General features: G+C 41.0%; 1 protein-coding gene across 1 annotated transcript in view, besides 1 other annotated feature; it reads left to right on the top strand.

Annotated features, from left to right (window-relative positions):
- EXT1 (exostosin glycosyltransferase 1) overlaps window positions 1-16,917 on the top strand; it is a 317,337-nt gene that overhangs the window by 265,250 nt on the left and 35,170 nt on the right. The window contains exons 2-4 of the mRNA NM_000127.3: window positions 9,376-9,469; window positions 11,026-11,133; window positions 16,228-16,347. Of these exons, the coding sequence (NP_000118.2) occupies window positions 9,376-9,469; window positions 11,026-11,133; window positions 16,228-16,347 (322 nt within the window). The remainder of the gene's footprint in view (window positions 1-9,375; window positions 9,470-11,025; window positions 11,134-16,227; window positions 16,348-16,917) is intronic.
- Window positions 14,713-15,007: a silencer, noted in NCBI's record as "tiled region #14285; HepG2 Repressive non-DNase unmatched - State 15:Elon". NCBI's record gives its function as "represses a minimal TATA promoter and a strong SV40 promoter by Sharpr-MPRA in HepG2 cells {active_cell/tissue: HepG2}" and the evidence as "EXISTENCE:reporter gene assay evidence [ECO:0000049][PMID:27701403]".

Genomic DNA, 16,917 nt, shown 5'->3' with positions numbered 1-16,917 from the left:
CTTTTCCCCCTGCACCCCCTCCCTGCCACTGTACTCAGGTAGCCCTTTATTTAGCATTTTCAAAAACGTTTTGTTTTGAACCAGAGAATTTAGGCCCATGTGTCTTGGAATTGCATTTCTCTGAGAAGAGTTTTGGAAGTGGGTATTGCTGTGTATAAAAGCTGGTGCTGGCCAGGCACGATGGCTCACGCCTATAATCCCAACACTTTGGGAGGCCGAGGCAGGTGTATCACTTGAGGCCAGGAGTTCAAGACCAGCCTGACCAACATGATGAAACCCCATCTCTACTAAAAATACAAAAATTAACTGAGCATGGTGGCACACACCTGTAGTCCCACCTACTTGGGAGTCTGAGGCACAAGAATCACTTGAACCCAGGAGGCAGAGGTTTTAGTGAGCTGAGATCATGCCACTGCACTCCAGCCTGAGCAACAGAGCAAGAAGACTCTGCTCAAAGGGGGGAAAAAAGAAAAAGCTGGTGCTGCAAAACCTCTCCTCTTTCAGAAAGCTTCCTGAGATTAATGTCATGGGCACGATGTATTAAATGTCTCTTATTTTCACCTTTGCTGGCACCTCGTTACTCTTTCCTCCTAGGTAGGTTGAGAGATGACAGAGCTGGTCGTGGATCCCATCCTCCTTGCACAAACCGAACAAAACCTGTGACACTTTACTTCATCATCTGTAAACTGGGGTCAGTAGCACCTATTCTCCATGATGGTGGTAAAGATAAGGCACAGTAAAGATTACAGATTGTGCAGCTCAGTGCCCCACCCACAGGAAATGCTTAAAAAGTGGAGGTATTGTTGTTATTATAATTTATATCTGGCCAGGCATGGTGGCTCATGCCTGTCATCTCAATACTTTGGGGACTGGGAAGGATGTGGGAGGATCACTTGAGGCCAGGAGTTCAAGACCAGCCTGGGCAACATAGCAAGACTCGTCTCTATAAAAAATTAAAATTTAAAAAAAGTTTTTAAAAAGTTGTTATTAATAGCTATCTTTTATTTATTTTTTTTTTTTACTTACTTTTATATATTAGCCATTGAGCTGTTATTTAATGAGCAGGAATTCAGATGGTCATCTTTTACCCCTCTTGAAGTATGAGCTACACCTGGTACATGTTGTGTTCATTAATATACACAGGTAGCAATTACCACTTGGGCTAAGTTTAAGGTTCTGAACTGTCAGTAGACATTTAACCTAAGGATGGGGGGTGGAGTTTAGAGTTGATAAGAGATTATGACCTGGCGTGTTCAGTCAAGATGTTTGAGTCCAAGGACTCTTCTGACTCCCTCATCCCTGTGAAAGACAGGTGTATCTTTCCCCACGTCCCCAGTGGTTGTGAGGCTGTCATGAGATCATGGATATGAGAGTGAATGCCTCCCATAGGGGTTTCATGCCTCAGCCCCAGCCCACAAAATGTTATCTGCCTCCCTTCCCTATGCTGAAATGGATTTTAAGAGGACATGAAAAGGAGACTCTCTTCTGTGGAAAGCCAAGAAGTGTGAAAGGGTGAATATAAATTCCTGGCCCTGGTTTTAGCCACGCACTGCTCTCTGCGGTGGACAGCTTGGGATCAGCAGCCTCAGACTGAGGAGCGTCACAAGGAAATAAATTCTTAATCCTTGGCATGACTGGGGAGGTGGGGAGTGGTGTGGCAGTTCTAACAGCAGGCAATGCTCAAGGCAAAAAACTGTCTTGAGTAAGGAATTGTACCACCTCCAAATAGCGAGTGCCTTCCTGCTTGGGGACGCCAAGCATCCCTGAAGCTGCAGCCAACCTGGTCAGCCAGTCCCAGAGCCTAGCACTGCACATTTGCATAGCTCATTTGTACTATAGCAGCTCATTTGTGTGCACAGAGACTCTGTGTGAGTAGGTGTCATGGAGAAACTGTGGCTCCTTAAGTCCAGAGAATTCTCAAAGACACCAGGGACCTATACTTTTCCATATTCTATGTTTTCAAGTCTCCTAATTGAGATGGAACAGTGGCCAGTTGGACCCATTTTCCAGCTAAAAGATTGGTTCCCACTTATATATGTTTCTCAGTTCAAATCTTTGCCTTGGGCAATTCCGTACGACTGCATGCTGTAAACTTCAGTTTTCTCAAAAATAACTGAAATTTTAGGCCAGGTATGGTGGCTCACTCCTGTAATCCCACCACTTTGAGAGGCTGAGGTAGGAGGATCACTTGAGCCCAGGAGTTCAAGACCAGCCTGGGCAACAAAGTGAGACCCCATCTCTACAAAAAGTTTAAAAATTAGCTTGACATGGTGGTACATGCCTGTAGTCCCACCTACTCAGGAGGCTGAGACAGGAGGATTGCCTGAGCCCAGGAGGTCGGGGCTGCAGTGAACTGTGATCTCACCACTGCACTGCAGCCTGGGTGACAGAGCAAGATCTTGTCTCAAAATAATAATAATAATAATAATAATAATAATAGTAATTGAAATTTTAAACTGTTAAACCTTTAAAGGCCAAGGAAGGGTCTAAGGCAACATGGTTAGTAAATAGATGACAGAGTACCTTCTTAAACTGAGCTCCTGGTAGTGATCTGGGGTGAAGTTTTGAATGGGAGAGAAACAGCCCTTTTAAATTGGCAACGAATAGCCCATGCTTGAAACTAGGTGAACTGCTTAGGACCTGGCTTCATAAGACATGTCAGTTTTAGACACTGCATGTTGTATGGGCTGACCAAGGAGGCAATGTGATGTAATGGAAAGAAAATGGGATTTAGAATGAGAAATCCAGGAGTTGGAACACAGGCTGGTTGGTCCTAGCTGTGACCTGCATTGGAAGGGTTTTTGAGGTCTCCAAACTTAATTGCTTCTCTATGAAATTGGGTTATATGAAGTCCTGAGAACACCATTGGTACCATGTCATTCTTCTGCTCAAGCCCTTCAGTGACACCCCAGTCACCTGCAAGGGATCATCTCTGAGCTCTAGGAGATGTCATAGAAAGCCTTCCTAGTGGCAACCCACCAGTAACAGCAGCCCACACCCCCATACCTTCCCCTCCCCAAACTGGGTGGTTTCTCTCACCTTGGTGCCTTTGTTCCTGCTATGCTATCTCTACCCCCAGGAATTCCCATCACCTCCTCTTACCCCTGTGCCTGGTTGCTTCTTGTACATCCTTTAAGATTTAGCTCAGGGTCTCACTTCCTCCAGGAGGCCTCCCTGCCTACATGTGGCCATTGCTTCTCTTCTCTGTATAACACCCACCTCTACCTCATGTCCAATCCTAGCACTCCTCTCGCTGACTAATCATCATTTGATAACACATGTTGTTTATTCTGGACAGTGAGCTCCCTGAAGAGTGCCTGACACATGGTAGACATTCAACTAATGCTTGGTGAATGAATGAAAAAGGCGCAAGGAGGTGCTCAAAGGATGTTAATTTCATTTCTCTCATCCCCATGCACTTTAGAGAACTACAACAGTCATAAATTATTTTTATTTTCTTTCTTTCTTTTTTTCTTAAGGGATATTATTCAAACTTGTGTATAAGGAAAGATTAATTACTTATGAGGATGGGGACTGGAGGGAGTAGATCAGCTGTAGATGTTAAGTTACTTTATGAATAAATACTTGAGACAAACTGTGACAACATCATGGGGAGGCTAGAATTGTGTGAGTACAGAGATGAGAGGCTGGATCACTTGTTTCTTCCCTATCGTCTTTGGTTAGCAAAAAGCAGGTTCACTTGGCAAATATGCGTGCTACAGAGGGATTGTGGGAGCCACAGGAGGACCTGTGAGCACAGTGCACCAGCAACATCCTTGTCTATGTAGCTTTTGATAATAAGGCAAAAGCCTTCAATTAGAAGCTGCTGTTCTGTTGTGATTCACAGCTTCTGTTTCCATTTTACTTTAAAGGGTCTGTTCCACATTTGTCTCTTGGCTCTGTCTTTGGGATACTGGTGTAGTTTTCATTCTTTTTAATTGTTACTAGGGGTTTTAAAAATGTTTATATCCCTCTTATTCTGATATAATTTACCATAATAACTTGCAATTGCATAGTGCTTTGCCATTTATATTCAATGTACATGATTTCATTTGATCTTCAAAACTTTGAGGTTTGGAGAAGTTGAATGATTTGCTGGGGTTACACAGGAAGTGGTAGATCAAGAACCCAAATTCCTTAGCCCAGATTTTCTAACTTGAAGCTGGCTGTGTTTTCCATTATGTTCTGTTATCTTCCTTCAGTCATAATGATAATAGCTACCTTTTATGGTTTGCTTATAATATGCTCGTGCTTTGGTTAAAATGTATCACTTAATCCTCACAGTATAAGTATTATCCCCATTTTGCCAACCAAGAAACTAGGATTAAACAAATTAAATAACTTTCTCAAGATTACTCAGTTTATAAATTGAAAAGCTGGAATTCGAACCCAGGTTTTGCTGTGTCTGAAGCTGCCTAACCACTAAGCTTTTAATTACTAAGCTCTTAACTATGGTGCCAGTGGTTCTGAAAATTTAGGGTGCATCATAATTATCCAGAGGGCTTGTTAAAACACAGAATTCTGGGCTCTTCCCCCAGAGTTTCTGATTCAGCAGGTTTGGGTGAGGCTGAGAATTTGCATTTCTACCAAGTTCCCAGATGATGCAGATGTTGCCACTGATTGGAAGAACACACTTTGAGAACCCCTGCTCTATGCTACACTCCCCCATCTTTCCCAGTTGCACAGAATGGCTGCCAGCAAAAATGTGTTTCCTACAGAGGGGCAGGACTTCAATTGTGCATTATTGCATAGTCCATTTTAAATGGGGTGCATCCCATACATTGTTCAATACAACTTTAAGTATAAAATGATTATGGCCATAGAGTGGTACTAGTGTCTAGGTTAAATTCAAGGTCATGTCATTTTTATTGCATTTTTCTTTGTAGTCGTTTGTGAAAATTCTTCTACCTTTTGTCCTTCTTTACCTACACGTGGGGAACTTAATGCCCATCTGAAAAGGGTAGCAAAACCATTTATTAGAGTGGCAAATTATCTGGGGTTAGTTGTCTCCCTCACCTACTTACCTTCTTGCTTAGGATATCATATGTTTCTTTTAAGTAGTGTGTGATTATGTGATTCACATTTCTAAACATAAGAAACGAGGGAGAATTAGTCCATCTTAAAACACTGTGTCCCCCCATTTGACCTCTCAAGTCTCCCTGTCTTTCCTCCTCCCCCCAACCAATGGCAACCTCTAAGTGTTCTTTATCCCTGTAACTATGTGATTTCATGAATGTCATATAGAAAGGATTCAACAGTATGTACACTTTCGAGGGTGACTTTTTAATGCAGCATAATTTCCTTGAAGTTGTCGTGTGTATCAATAGTTTGTCCCACTTTATTGCTGAGAAGGATTGTAGGCTATGGATGTACCACAATTTGTTGAATCATTCACACATTGAAGGACATTTGGGTAGTTTCCAGTTTAAGGTTATTACAGACAAACTGCTGTGAACATTTGTGGACAAGTTTCTGCGTGAAAATAAGTTTCCATTTCTCTGGGATACATGCCCAAGAGTGCAATTACTGGGTCATATGGTAAGTCCATTTTTAGTTTGAAAAGGAACTGCCAAACTATTTTTCGAAGTGGCTGCACCGTTTTACCTTCCTGCTAGAAATGTATGAAGGGTTCTAATCTCTTTACATCCTCATCAGCACTTGCTCTCATCTGTCATTTTGCTTATAGCCATCCCAGTGGGTGTAAAGTGGTATCTCATTCATTGTAGTTATGATTTGCTTTTCCCTAGTGACTATTGATGTTGAATATATTTTCATGTGTTTAGCAGCACTTTGTGTGTCTTCTTTGGAAAAATGTTTATTCAAATCCTTAGCCTCTTTTAAAGTTTGATTATTTATCTTTTTATTGTTGAGTCAGAAGAGTTCTTTATGTATTCTAGATGAAAGTCCCTTATCATATATGATTGGCAAATACGTTCTCTCTTTCTTTTTTTTTTTTTTCTTTTTGAGATAGAGTTTCGCTCTTGTTGCCCAGGCTGGAGTACAATGGCACTATCTTGGCTCACTGCAACCTCCACCTCCCAGTTTCAAGTGATTCTTCTTCCTCAGCCTCCCAAGTAGCTGAGATTACAGGCATGTGCTACCATGCCCAGCTAATTTTGTATTTTTAGTAGAGTTGAGGTTACACCATGTTGGCCAGACTGGTTTCAATCTCCTGACATCAGGTGATCTGCCTGCCTGGGCCTCCCAAAGTGCTGGGATTACAGGTGTGAACCACCATGCCCGGTGGTTCTCTCTTTCTGTAGGCTCTTTTTCACTTTCTTGATGGGACCTGGGGGGATGGAGAGCCCAGCCTTCCTGACTGCACTGCCCCAGAGTAAAGCTCCTGTAAGGCAGAGCTAGTAGGGGTTGGTCATGGAACAGGTCAGGGACCAGATGCCACAGACTCTCATGGTTCTTGCCAAGATTTGGTAGATTTTCTTGGGTGACTGTTTCTCTATTTGTCATTATCCCCTTAGGACAATTCTCAGAGACTTAAAATGTTTTTATGATTGTTACTAAATTGCTGTTTTGCTGGGGAGAGTGGCCACAGACTTCTTTGTGTATCTTCTGAAAGGTCGGCCTTCTATAATCTCCTCTTATAATGCAAATACTCCCAGGAGATGTTTATATCTTAAATTCTCATCTCATCAGCATTTTCTCATTGTCAGGTGCTTCTTTGGTAGCTCCAGCAACTAGAGAAGACCTTCTCTGGACTCTATCTGTTGAAATGGGACAGTGTCTGAAACATAGTATTTCTTGAAAGAATGAATGAATAAATGAGTGGATTTAAGCATCTACAAGGAGGTTGATGTGCAGTGTGAAAGAGCATCACAATGGGCTGAGTAGGAGAGGATCAAGCACGTGGTCAAACTAGAATAGTTGTCTGCCCACTTGTGGGGCATCATTCTTCCTTCAGGTAGAACATGTTAGTAATTCATAGATTGACTGTCCAGAGAGTAGAATAGAGAGGCTGGTTCACAGGCTGAGCATGCATAGAAATCTGAATGAAAATCATTGTTCTAAGGTATGAGTGTACATGTTCTGTATGAGCCTCTATGTGAATACACACATATGTTAGACATGCACTGCATACATATGAACAGATACGTATGTATATACATATACACACATATATGGGTATGGAATTGTGCACATATACACATACATATAATGGTATGGACACCTAAGCAGTGGGATATTCTCAAAGGACATTCCTCTTTCTTACCCAAAAATGATAAGATAAAGAGTAATCAAGTATTAAAACTGAATCTATAGTCATCTAGCCCAAGTAGTTCATTTTGCAGATGAGGAAACAGATAGAAAATTCATGGGTTTTTTAAGTCTCACAGCTACCTAGTGGTTTCCTAACTCCTGCAAGGGTATTCTTCCCACAGCTCCTATTACCTATTATGTGAAGGAATACAAGCTTCGATCATGTCAATCTTACTTGCTATATCAGCAAATAGTCCTTCTATGTAACCATTTAAGCAACCCACTATAACTGTCATTTGAATTTTTCCTATAAGTTTTCTGCCCTTCCTCTTCCTCCACACATTCCCTAAAGTAAATTCTGCAACTAGGAACTTTGAAACTTGTTACAATGCAGAACATTAATAGGATTTTACATTTTTAGTAGGCTAATGATGAGAATGTGGGACCTTCTGTGCTAGTCCCTCAGGGGTTTCTATTCTGGGTACTTATTAAACCTTGCTGTAGTCTGAAGTATATTCGACCTTTCTGTATTAAAAAAAAATCAGCTTAAACTTTATGCATATATTTTTGTGAGTGTGTGTGTGTGTGCATATTTCTCTCTGCTCCATCTATTAGGCAGAGATTAAAACATTATCAACATTTGAACTTGAAGATATTTGTCAACCATTTTCCTGTGTTTGGTGAGGATGAAGAAATCACTACCATCTAATTTATTTTTTTTTTATATTTAACTAAATTCAAGCCTTCTTAAAAATCTTTTTTACTTTGAAGTCTATTTTGCAATTTAATTAATGCAGCAAGGGTTTTAGAAAATTTTTACTCTCAATGGAGATAATCTTAATCCATTCACGGTGACCTTTTCTTGTGCAAATTAGTTGTACACGCTTGTTTAAGCAAATGGTCCTTTGCATGATGTCTCTTCTTAATGGCGGGTTTATAATTGAAAATTGGCTTACTCCCGTATGCCTAGTTTGTATGAGAATATAAAAATAGATGTGGACTTTAAAAATATAAATGTATATACCAATATACCCAAAAAGAAGAGGGAAGAATTCAGTGCCTTTAGGCTATGATTAAATTAGACTATTAGAGTCAGAAAGTGGTGGTGACATATGCTACTGTCAAAGTCACACCTGTCTGCTCAGCATTGGAAGCTCTTGAAAAATGAGAGTGATTTCATCTTGGCTCTAAGAATCGGGGCCTTTACAGGACATGAGCCATCTCTACTTTCCCAAGTTTTCTTAAACTCATAATGTACTTGAAACTGCCTGTGTAGGAATGTGTTTGTGGTAATCACTTTAAAAGTGACAGTCCTAAACAAAATGAAATGCTTTTTATCTTTCTTAAACTTCACTGGCATAAAGAAACAGGTAACACTCATATTTTGTATGTTTTTTCGAAAAGCAAAAGCAATGTAATATCATTAAATGGTATTTGAGTAAAATAAATTCATCTCTTCTGTAGACCAGTTTCCTGTACCCCCTCCTAGTTCAGGTTTTTTTTTTTTCTTTTCTTTTCTCGTTATTCTTTCTTTCCCTTTCTTAGGCTAGCATCCTTCTCTCTCACCTCCTCTTTCTCCTGTGAGTTATGTCAGCCATTCTTAAACAGGAATATTTTTCCTGGGTAACTGAACGTTCTTGGTTAAGTGTAGAAACTCCATCTTGAAAGAGAAGACAAATGTTGTTTTGTGCCTGTGATTGAGGTTTTCTGAATAGTTTTTAATAGCATGGTTTTGAAGGGGTGGGGAACAAGAACAGTCTTAGTTTTGCTGAATGCCGTATTGTTAAAGGAGAAGGAGAAGCACCAGTAATTTTCTCTTCTTCTTTTTAAGACTATGGGGCAACATATTTTATCAAGACTTAAAAATCTGATTTTGGAAGCAAAGACTGGGCAAACCAAATTGTTGCCAGAACGATCAGACTTGTCTTTATATATACTGCTTGCAAAAGGGATCCTAATTGCTTTGTCCAACATGATGATTCATGTTTACTCTTCATGCAGCAACCCAACCTCCTTCCTCAAAATGGAAAAGTGAGAGCTGCCTGCTGGTGGCTTTCCCGAGTTGCTTTGCGTAAATTCATGCACATGGGCGCCCACCTATGGTCAATATCCCCACATTCGCAATGAGTCTTCATTTGCTGTTTACTCCTCTTCTCTTTCTAGGTATGATTATCGGGAAATGCTGCACAATGCCACTTTCTGTCTGGTTCCTCGTGGTCGCAGGCTTGGGTCCTTCAGATTCCTGGAGGCTTTGCAGGTAAGAGGCCCTGGAGCCTTCCCAGAATAGGGCTGAGGACCGAAGCCAGATTAAGTGGGTTTAACATTATCACCTCTCCTGGGATAGCTAAAGAGAAGGTGTGGTTTCCCTTGAGGATCTGAAAATATTTTCAAGAAAATCTAAAACATTTTTGACAAGTGAGGGGTGGAGGGAGGATTTACTCAGTAATTTTAGATGTAAGAAATTAAATGGTGGATTCTTCTGGGTCATGTTTAGAAACAGAAGGCAAATCTAATTGCCAGCTTGGCCTACCAGGCAGCCTAGCTGGACTCTAAAAAGCAGCCCTACACTTTCCCTTTATTCGTGGTACTCTCTAAAAGCAAAATTGTCTTTTCTGCCTGCATCTTCATTGTCTCTCAGTTCCTTTCAATTTTGAGAATGATCCCCAGCATGGTGGTACTACTCAGATGATCCAGCTCTTCCAAGGCTCTGCAGTTCAGAGGTCCTGGCTCCAGCCCTGGAGCCTTTGTGGTGGGAGTTTCTCAGCTCATCAACCTCACTCTGCAGAAATGTCCTCTTGAGACAGTCATCCACATTTCCCACCTGGAAGTTGCAACCAGCCTTCTTTGATTGCAGAGAGAAAGCATGCCCTCAACCTCTCTCATCCTCCATTCCTTGACCCTTTGCTACTATGTTCTTTCCTCCTCTTGCCCTGCACCATGCCTAAATCTGTGCTTTTGCTGCAGTGCCTCATAACTTCTTATCTCTGCCATCTTAACTGCAAATCATTCTGTCATGCCCTCCAACAGAAGAGCTTCCTTCTCTGGAATGTCTTTTCCAAGTTGCTCTCTGTGTGTGTTCTGCATAGCATGCCATCACTAATGTTCTTGTAGCCTCCTGGGATGCTGCATAAAGAAAAATTGTTCTCTGATTTGGATTATGAGTTATTTGGAATCAGTATTTTGTCATTAACCTAGTGTTTCTTGGCTGTTTATTTCCCGGCACAGACCATAAATTGGTATGACTGTGGTTTAGATCACTCCACACTGAAAGGAACAAAGTTCTGGTTTGGGTGTTTGCAGAGCAAGGGAAATGTGAACACTCTATACTGGTTAAGTCCACGAACTGCTGCCTAGGAATGCTGAGCTTCATTCTGCTCTTTGTTGCTCATGACATTGGGGTAAACCACTTTGCACGTGGACTTGTGGGAGTTACGTTGACCAGACTGTTTATATTCAAGGTTGGTTCTATACTCAGATTTTGTTGGTGCGAGCTTTTGTTACGTCAATAAAAACTTCTCCAGCAAGGCCAGTCGTCTCTATGGAAGTAAGGTCAGCCAAACCATGTACTAGAATAGAAATGGGGTTTTAGCATTCTAGGGCAAGACTTGCAAATATTAAAATCTAGTCTGGATACGTACAACCTTCGTGTGACTTGATAACTCATAAAAGCTTCCTTTCCTTCTGGCCTAGGCAGTCCAGGATTCATGCAGTGTCAAAAATGCCAGTCATTGAGTTTGTACTGATTTCACCTCTGATTGGAACAGCTTCTGCTGTCGCTTTCCTCACATTCACGAAGTCCCCTTTTTTGCTCAGGCTGCCTGCGTCCCTGTGATGCTCAGCAATGGATGGGAGTTGCCATTCTCTGAAGTGATTAATTGGAACCAAGCTGCCGTCATAGGCGATGAGAGATTGTTATTACAGGTAAGGAAGGGGCTGTGGCCTTCAACACATCAGCAGATTATTGCTGCCCCCGTCCAAACTTTCAAAGAAGATGAATCCAAAAGGTCAGCTCTATAAAAGAAATCTTATCAGGAGAAAATTACCTGTGTCATGGTGAATATGAAGTCATTTAATATGACATTGTTCACTTTCCAACAAAATCTCCCCAGGTCCCCAGAATATATTCTGAAAAGAAGTTGCAGGTAAAGAATGGGAGCTTTGATTTTCAAGAAGAAGTGGATCTCCACCCCTTTCAATAACCAGAATTTTTAGAAATATTACCAGAGAGTTTTTATTCTACCCTACTGTTTCATATTCTTTTCCTCTGTTTCTGCACTTGCCTTCAGATTAATTTTCAGAAAGAGAGAGGTCTCTAGGGCTTGTTCTTGTAATTAGTGTTATCGTTCCTCAAATGATCCAGTCTGGGTGTCTGAGCGAGTGTTATCTTTAGGATTTATATTTAAATGAGCAGCCCCTAATAAAAGTTTGAATTGCTCAAGAGCTGCCTAGGGAGGGGGATACGATACTCAGAAAAATCTGAGGGCAGGAATGATCATGTATTATTTTTTTTTAAATTACTAAGGATTTCTAAAGCCCTTTGTATATTCATATTTTAGGATCAACACAAGTTGCCGTGCTCTTTTCTCCTAAAATTCTAGAACTTTAATGTTTTTCTTTTGTTGTACCATACACTTTATCTTTGAATTACCACAAATATTTGTAGAATTTTTTTTAATGTCTTTGCCCTTTTAGTTTTTGGATATTCATTAAATTGAGTTTCTAAGTCTGTGTGTGTGTATGTGTGTGTGTTTGTGTTTTTTGAGATGGAGTCTCACTCTGTCGCCCAGGCTGGAGTGCAGTGGTGTGATCTCTGCTCACTGCAACCTCTGCCTCCCAGGTTCAAGCGATTCTCCTGCCTCAGCCTCCCGAGGAGCTGGGAATACAGGTGCACACCACCACGCCTGGCTAATTTTTGTATTTGTAGTAGAGATGGGATTTCACCATGTTGGTCATGCTGTTCTCGAACTTCTAACCTCAGGTGATTCACCCATCTCAGCCTCCCAAAGTGCTGGAATTACAGGTGTGAGCCACCGCGCCTGGCCTCTTAAGTCTGTTGTTGATTCTCCTTCTGTGCTGCTGCCCAGTCTGCTAGCTGACTGCTGAAGTAATACAGCACTTTCCCTAAAATAACAAATGAACTAACTGTAACTGAGAGACCCATGGGTTAAGCAAACTAAAGTGACCACAGCTCCTGAAACATTACTTCTGTCTGGCACTCAGTTTGTGATCTCCATAGTCCCTATTATCTCAGAAACAAAGGAGGAATGTGACAGAATCTGTTTTTGGGGGAATAAGTTATTCTGCCCTGAATACAACTTAATTTCTTAGGTGTTCATTGAGAAAGGGGTCTGGAGTTTTTGTGAAAGGGCCACTTTTATGCCAATGATTTCCCACTGTGATTCCTTAAGGAAAAGAAGTCCTTGCAGAAACACTGAGGAAGAGTTTTCCCCATGCAGAGATAGTGTATGCTAAAATCATTTATTCATGAAAAGCCAAACAAGAGTGATGCATGTTGTGCTTGTCCATGTAGCCTTTTTTCTTCCTTTTTCAAATGTTATTTTAAAAATAATACATGATCATTAAAAGAAATTTGAGAAATAAAGGGAATAAAAAACACCACCCATAATTTTCCTTTTATATACCAATGCTCCCATGAATTTGATGTGAACAAATTGAAAGTTTGTCTTTGGTATGGAGCGCATTTTAGGATACTTAATTGTGGTTGTGCAGTTTCTTTCTTTTTTTTTTTTGAGATGGAGTCTCGCTCTGTCACTCAAGCTGGAGTGCCATGGCATGATCTCAGCTCACTGCAACCTCCACCTCCCGGGTTTAAGCGATTCTTCTGCCTCAGCCTCCCGAGTAGCTGGGATTACAAGTGCCTGCCACCACACTCAGCTAATTTTTGTATTTTTAGTAGAGATGGTGTTTCACCATGTTGGCCAGGCTGGTCTTGAACTCCTGACCTCGTGATCCACCTGCCTCAGCCTCCCAAAGTGCTGGGATTACAGGCGTGAGCCAGCGCGCCCAGCCACTTGTCCAGTTTCTACCATTTCACCAAACTTGATGGGCATTTCACCTTCTGAAGCAACTTTTTGGCTTGACTCTAAAGATTTTGATTTTTGTCACCCCCACCCACCCAGACTTGCTGGTGTTTTTCCCCTCTCATATTCAGTCTGTCTTTGCACAGCTGCCTCCATATTGAGCAGCAACTGTGTACTATCATTAACAATGGTTTTAAAGAGTTGGCACCCAGCCCAAATGTCTGCTCTGGGAAATGTTTTTTTGTTATGTTACAATTTTTTATTTCCTGTTTTAGAACAGCTGGGATGTTTTTATTTGCATATATTCTTGTCATCATGTCACCAAGAGAGCTTAATGTGACTTTCTTGTATCTATTCTGGTGCATTCCATTTGTTTTGCTACCATACATGACCTTTTATTAAGACTTCATTGAGCTCGGCAACTTCCAAAACAATCCAGCCAAATTGGAATTAATTTATCACTTTCCCATACCTGTCTCTCAGGACAAGCAGATTAATAACCAATAGCCAAGTGCCATTAAAACTTGGAACTCTGTCTTTTCAATCAATTGGAGTTGTCTTCCAGAGCACTTTGCAGAGTGCTGTCAGACACTTGTATCATATCACAAGCCGGTAGAATACATTGCACTTGATGTAGTAAGATGAAGATGCATGTTATTTAAGAGAGGGGAACAGCATTGGTAGGTGAGTCTGTGATATTCCTTTTCTCCTTTCATAACCACAGCAGACTCAATTTTCTGGAGACTATATAGCAATGACAGCTTTAGGCATTTTTCTTTTCTTTTCTTTTCTTTTTTTTTTTTAAGACAGTCTTGCTCTGTCACCCAGGCTGGAGTGCAGCGGTGCAATCTCAGCTCACTGCAACTTCTGCCTCCCAGTTCAAGCAATTCTTCTGCCTCAGCCTTCCGAGTAGCTGGGCCTATAGGTGCACACCACCATGCCCAGCTAATTTTTGTATTTTTAGTAGAGATGGGGTTTCACCATATTGGCCAGGCCGGTCTTGAACTCCTGAACTCGTGATCCGCCTGCCTCGGCCTCCCAAAGTGCTGGGATTACAGGCTGAGCCACCGCGCCCGGCCTTAGGCATTTTTCTAATAGACTGTTTCCTTGTGGCTACGATAAAACAGTGATGCCAACCTATATAACTCTTAGCAGTTACCTCTTGACATTTAGAAGAGGGTATGATTATGAAAATTGAACAGGATAGTTTTTTTCTAATCTTTCTTTGGCCATCTAGGTAACTTTCTCAGTGAGTAACTAAAAATAAGTTTCCTTGCACTGATAAAGGTTCTATGATATAAATGATTTGTCTACCTTCTCAAAGAATGTTTTATTTCCATTTGACCTTGGGCTCTGATTACAGGCTAATGTTTGCCTGCCAGTATTTCTCCTTTACATGTTGCCTCTGTTTTTTCAGTGTTGCAAATCCAGGTATACACTTTGGGACACAGATTTAGTATCTGGTTTTGGACATTGTCAAACCAAGTGAGCTTTTCCTTCTGTTCTTACTGTGAAGCTATTTTATTGCTCCTCCTAAGGGGAGTGCTGAATTAAAAAATGTGCTACCACTTCCTTCCCCTCCAATGGAAACTCTGTTACAGTCTTAGTCAAATGCCATGGGTGACTTTCCTATTAAAGCAGCTAACGGAGCATTTCTCCTTCTTGCTCAGACTCCCATATCTGTCGGATTAGTCATATGTTATGGAGGCAAGCATGCAGAAAGAGGTGAGCACAAAAGGGCAATTGCAAATCACAAGGAATCTTCCCTAAAGACTATAGACTCCGTAAATGAAATAGACCTTGAACTGTAGGTGAAAATAGGGAACAAGCCCAGAAAACTTACCAGACTCAGGAAGTACATTTCAGAGCTCCAGACCCAAGTAGGTTCCCTTGCAAACATTAAGCAATTGATCCAGCTTTTAATAGCATCACCCTGATACCAATAATGATAATAGTAGTGATGTTACATTAATTAAGTTTTCCATGTTTTAGGCACTGTGCTAAGCACTTATATAATCATCATTAAAACCTTAGTACTTTATCCCCACTTTATAAGTAAAGAAGTGGAGTCTTTGAGAAATCAGCTAACTCATTCAAGAAAGCACAGGTAGTAAATGCTGCTAGAGGCAACACTCCTTCCTTGATCTTTCTGACTTCTGTGCCCCTGTGCCTGACCATTCAGTTATACTACCATTAAAAATAATGACGTCCCTGTGGTGGCTTCAGATGGTTATATTCACCTCCTATTTCTTAATAACTACTATATAAAATCCACTCTGCTAACCTGAAAATGTGTAGCAGGATAACAAGATATAGGTCCTTCCTTTAAAATTGTATACCCTGGAAGAGAGCAGTGATGGCTAATCATATATGAACAATTGAGAGATCCAGTTAGACTTGGGTAAAGGCTGAAGGCAGAAAGAGAGATATAGGGAGCAGAAAGGCTCAAAGGTGAGGTAGAAGGTATGTGCACATAAAAGTGACTGACCCTAGCTTCAGATTGGATGGGAAGGCTCATAGACATTCTCTAAAAAGTCCTTTTATAGATATTTTATAGTTCCTGGGGTGACCAATCATAGAAGTGCTTGGGAGATAAAGTCTTCTGGCCTTTCCCCAAGACCTATAGTTACCCCTCTATAAAATTTGGTTGTTCATGTGCAAGGTCAAGGATTTCTGGAAACAGCAATTGTGACTATAGACTAACCTAAGCAACTGATAAGGTGCTACTGAATCTTAGAGGTGAACTGTAACTTTCATACATCAAAGGCCATTGGGGTGGATTCCCAGTAAGTGCTCTTTGCAGCTGACACTTCTTAAGGTCATTTCAACTTAGGAATTGATGATTTTTAGTAGATCTATATGCTAGAAGCCAAATGCTATGAAGAATAAAAGCCTAACCCAGTTGGGTTATTTTGATCAAGTGCATCTCTTTGTTTTACAGTTATAATTCCTATGTGTTCACCTTGTGTTACAGATTCCTTCTACAATCAGGTCTATTCATCAGGATAAAATCCTAGCACTTAGACAGCAGACACAATTCTTGTGGGAGGCTTATTTTTCTTCAGTTGAGAAGATTGTATTAACTACACTAGAGGTAAGTGAGACCACTTGGCTCTTGGGCTTGAATAATGGTCCTTTATACACTTCTCTCAGCCTTCTGTTTTGCTATTAGGGATGTGTGATTGGTCCAGTGGGGCAAAACCAGATTCCTGTACTTGGATATATTGGTTAACCTCTTTTACCTGCTTTGCCATGGCCAAGAAAATACTCTCATTCCTGACAAACTCCACAAAGGAAAACCTACATGGGGAGAAATTATACTTATTGACACAGAGATTGACTCTGTCTTACATCATTTCAGGGATATGTGGGTCATGACTGTCTTGTCATTTACACTCAATGGCATCCTTCGAAGACATATTTCTGGAGTTCATTTAGAAAAAAATATTTAATGGCTTGGCACAGCGGCTCACTCCTGTAATCTCAGCACTTTGAGAAGCTGAGGCAGGTGCATCACCTGAGTTCAGGAGTTCAAGACCTGGCCAACATGGTGAAACCTCGTCTCTACTAAAAATACAAAAAATTAGCCAGGCATGGTGGCACACGCTTGTAATCCCAGCTACTCGGGAGGCTGAGGCAGGAGAATATCTTGAACCTGGGAGGT

The sequence above is a fragment of the Homo sapiens genome, chromosome 8 (genome assembly GCF_000001405.40).
Source record: "Homo sapiens chromosome 8, GRCh38.p14 Primary Assembly".
In the NCBI taxonomy this organism is placed as follows: Eukaryota; Metazoa; Chordata; class Mammalia; order Primates; family Hominidae; genus Homo; species Homo sapiens.
This window is presented reverse-complemented; position numbering and strand designations above follow the sequence as displayed.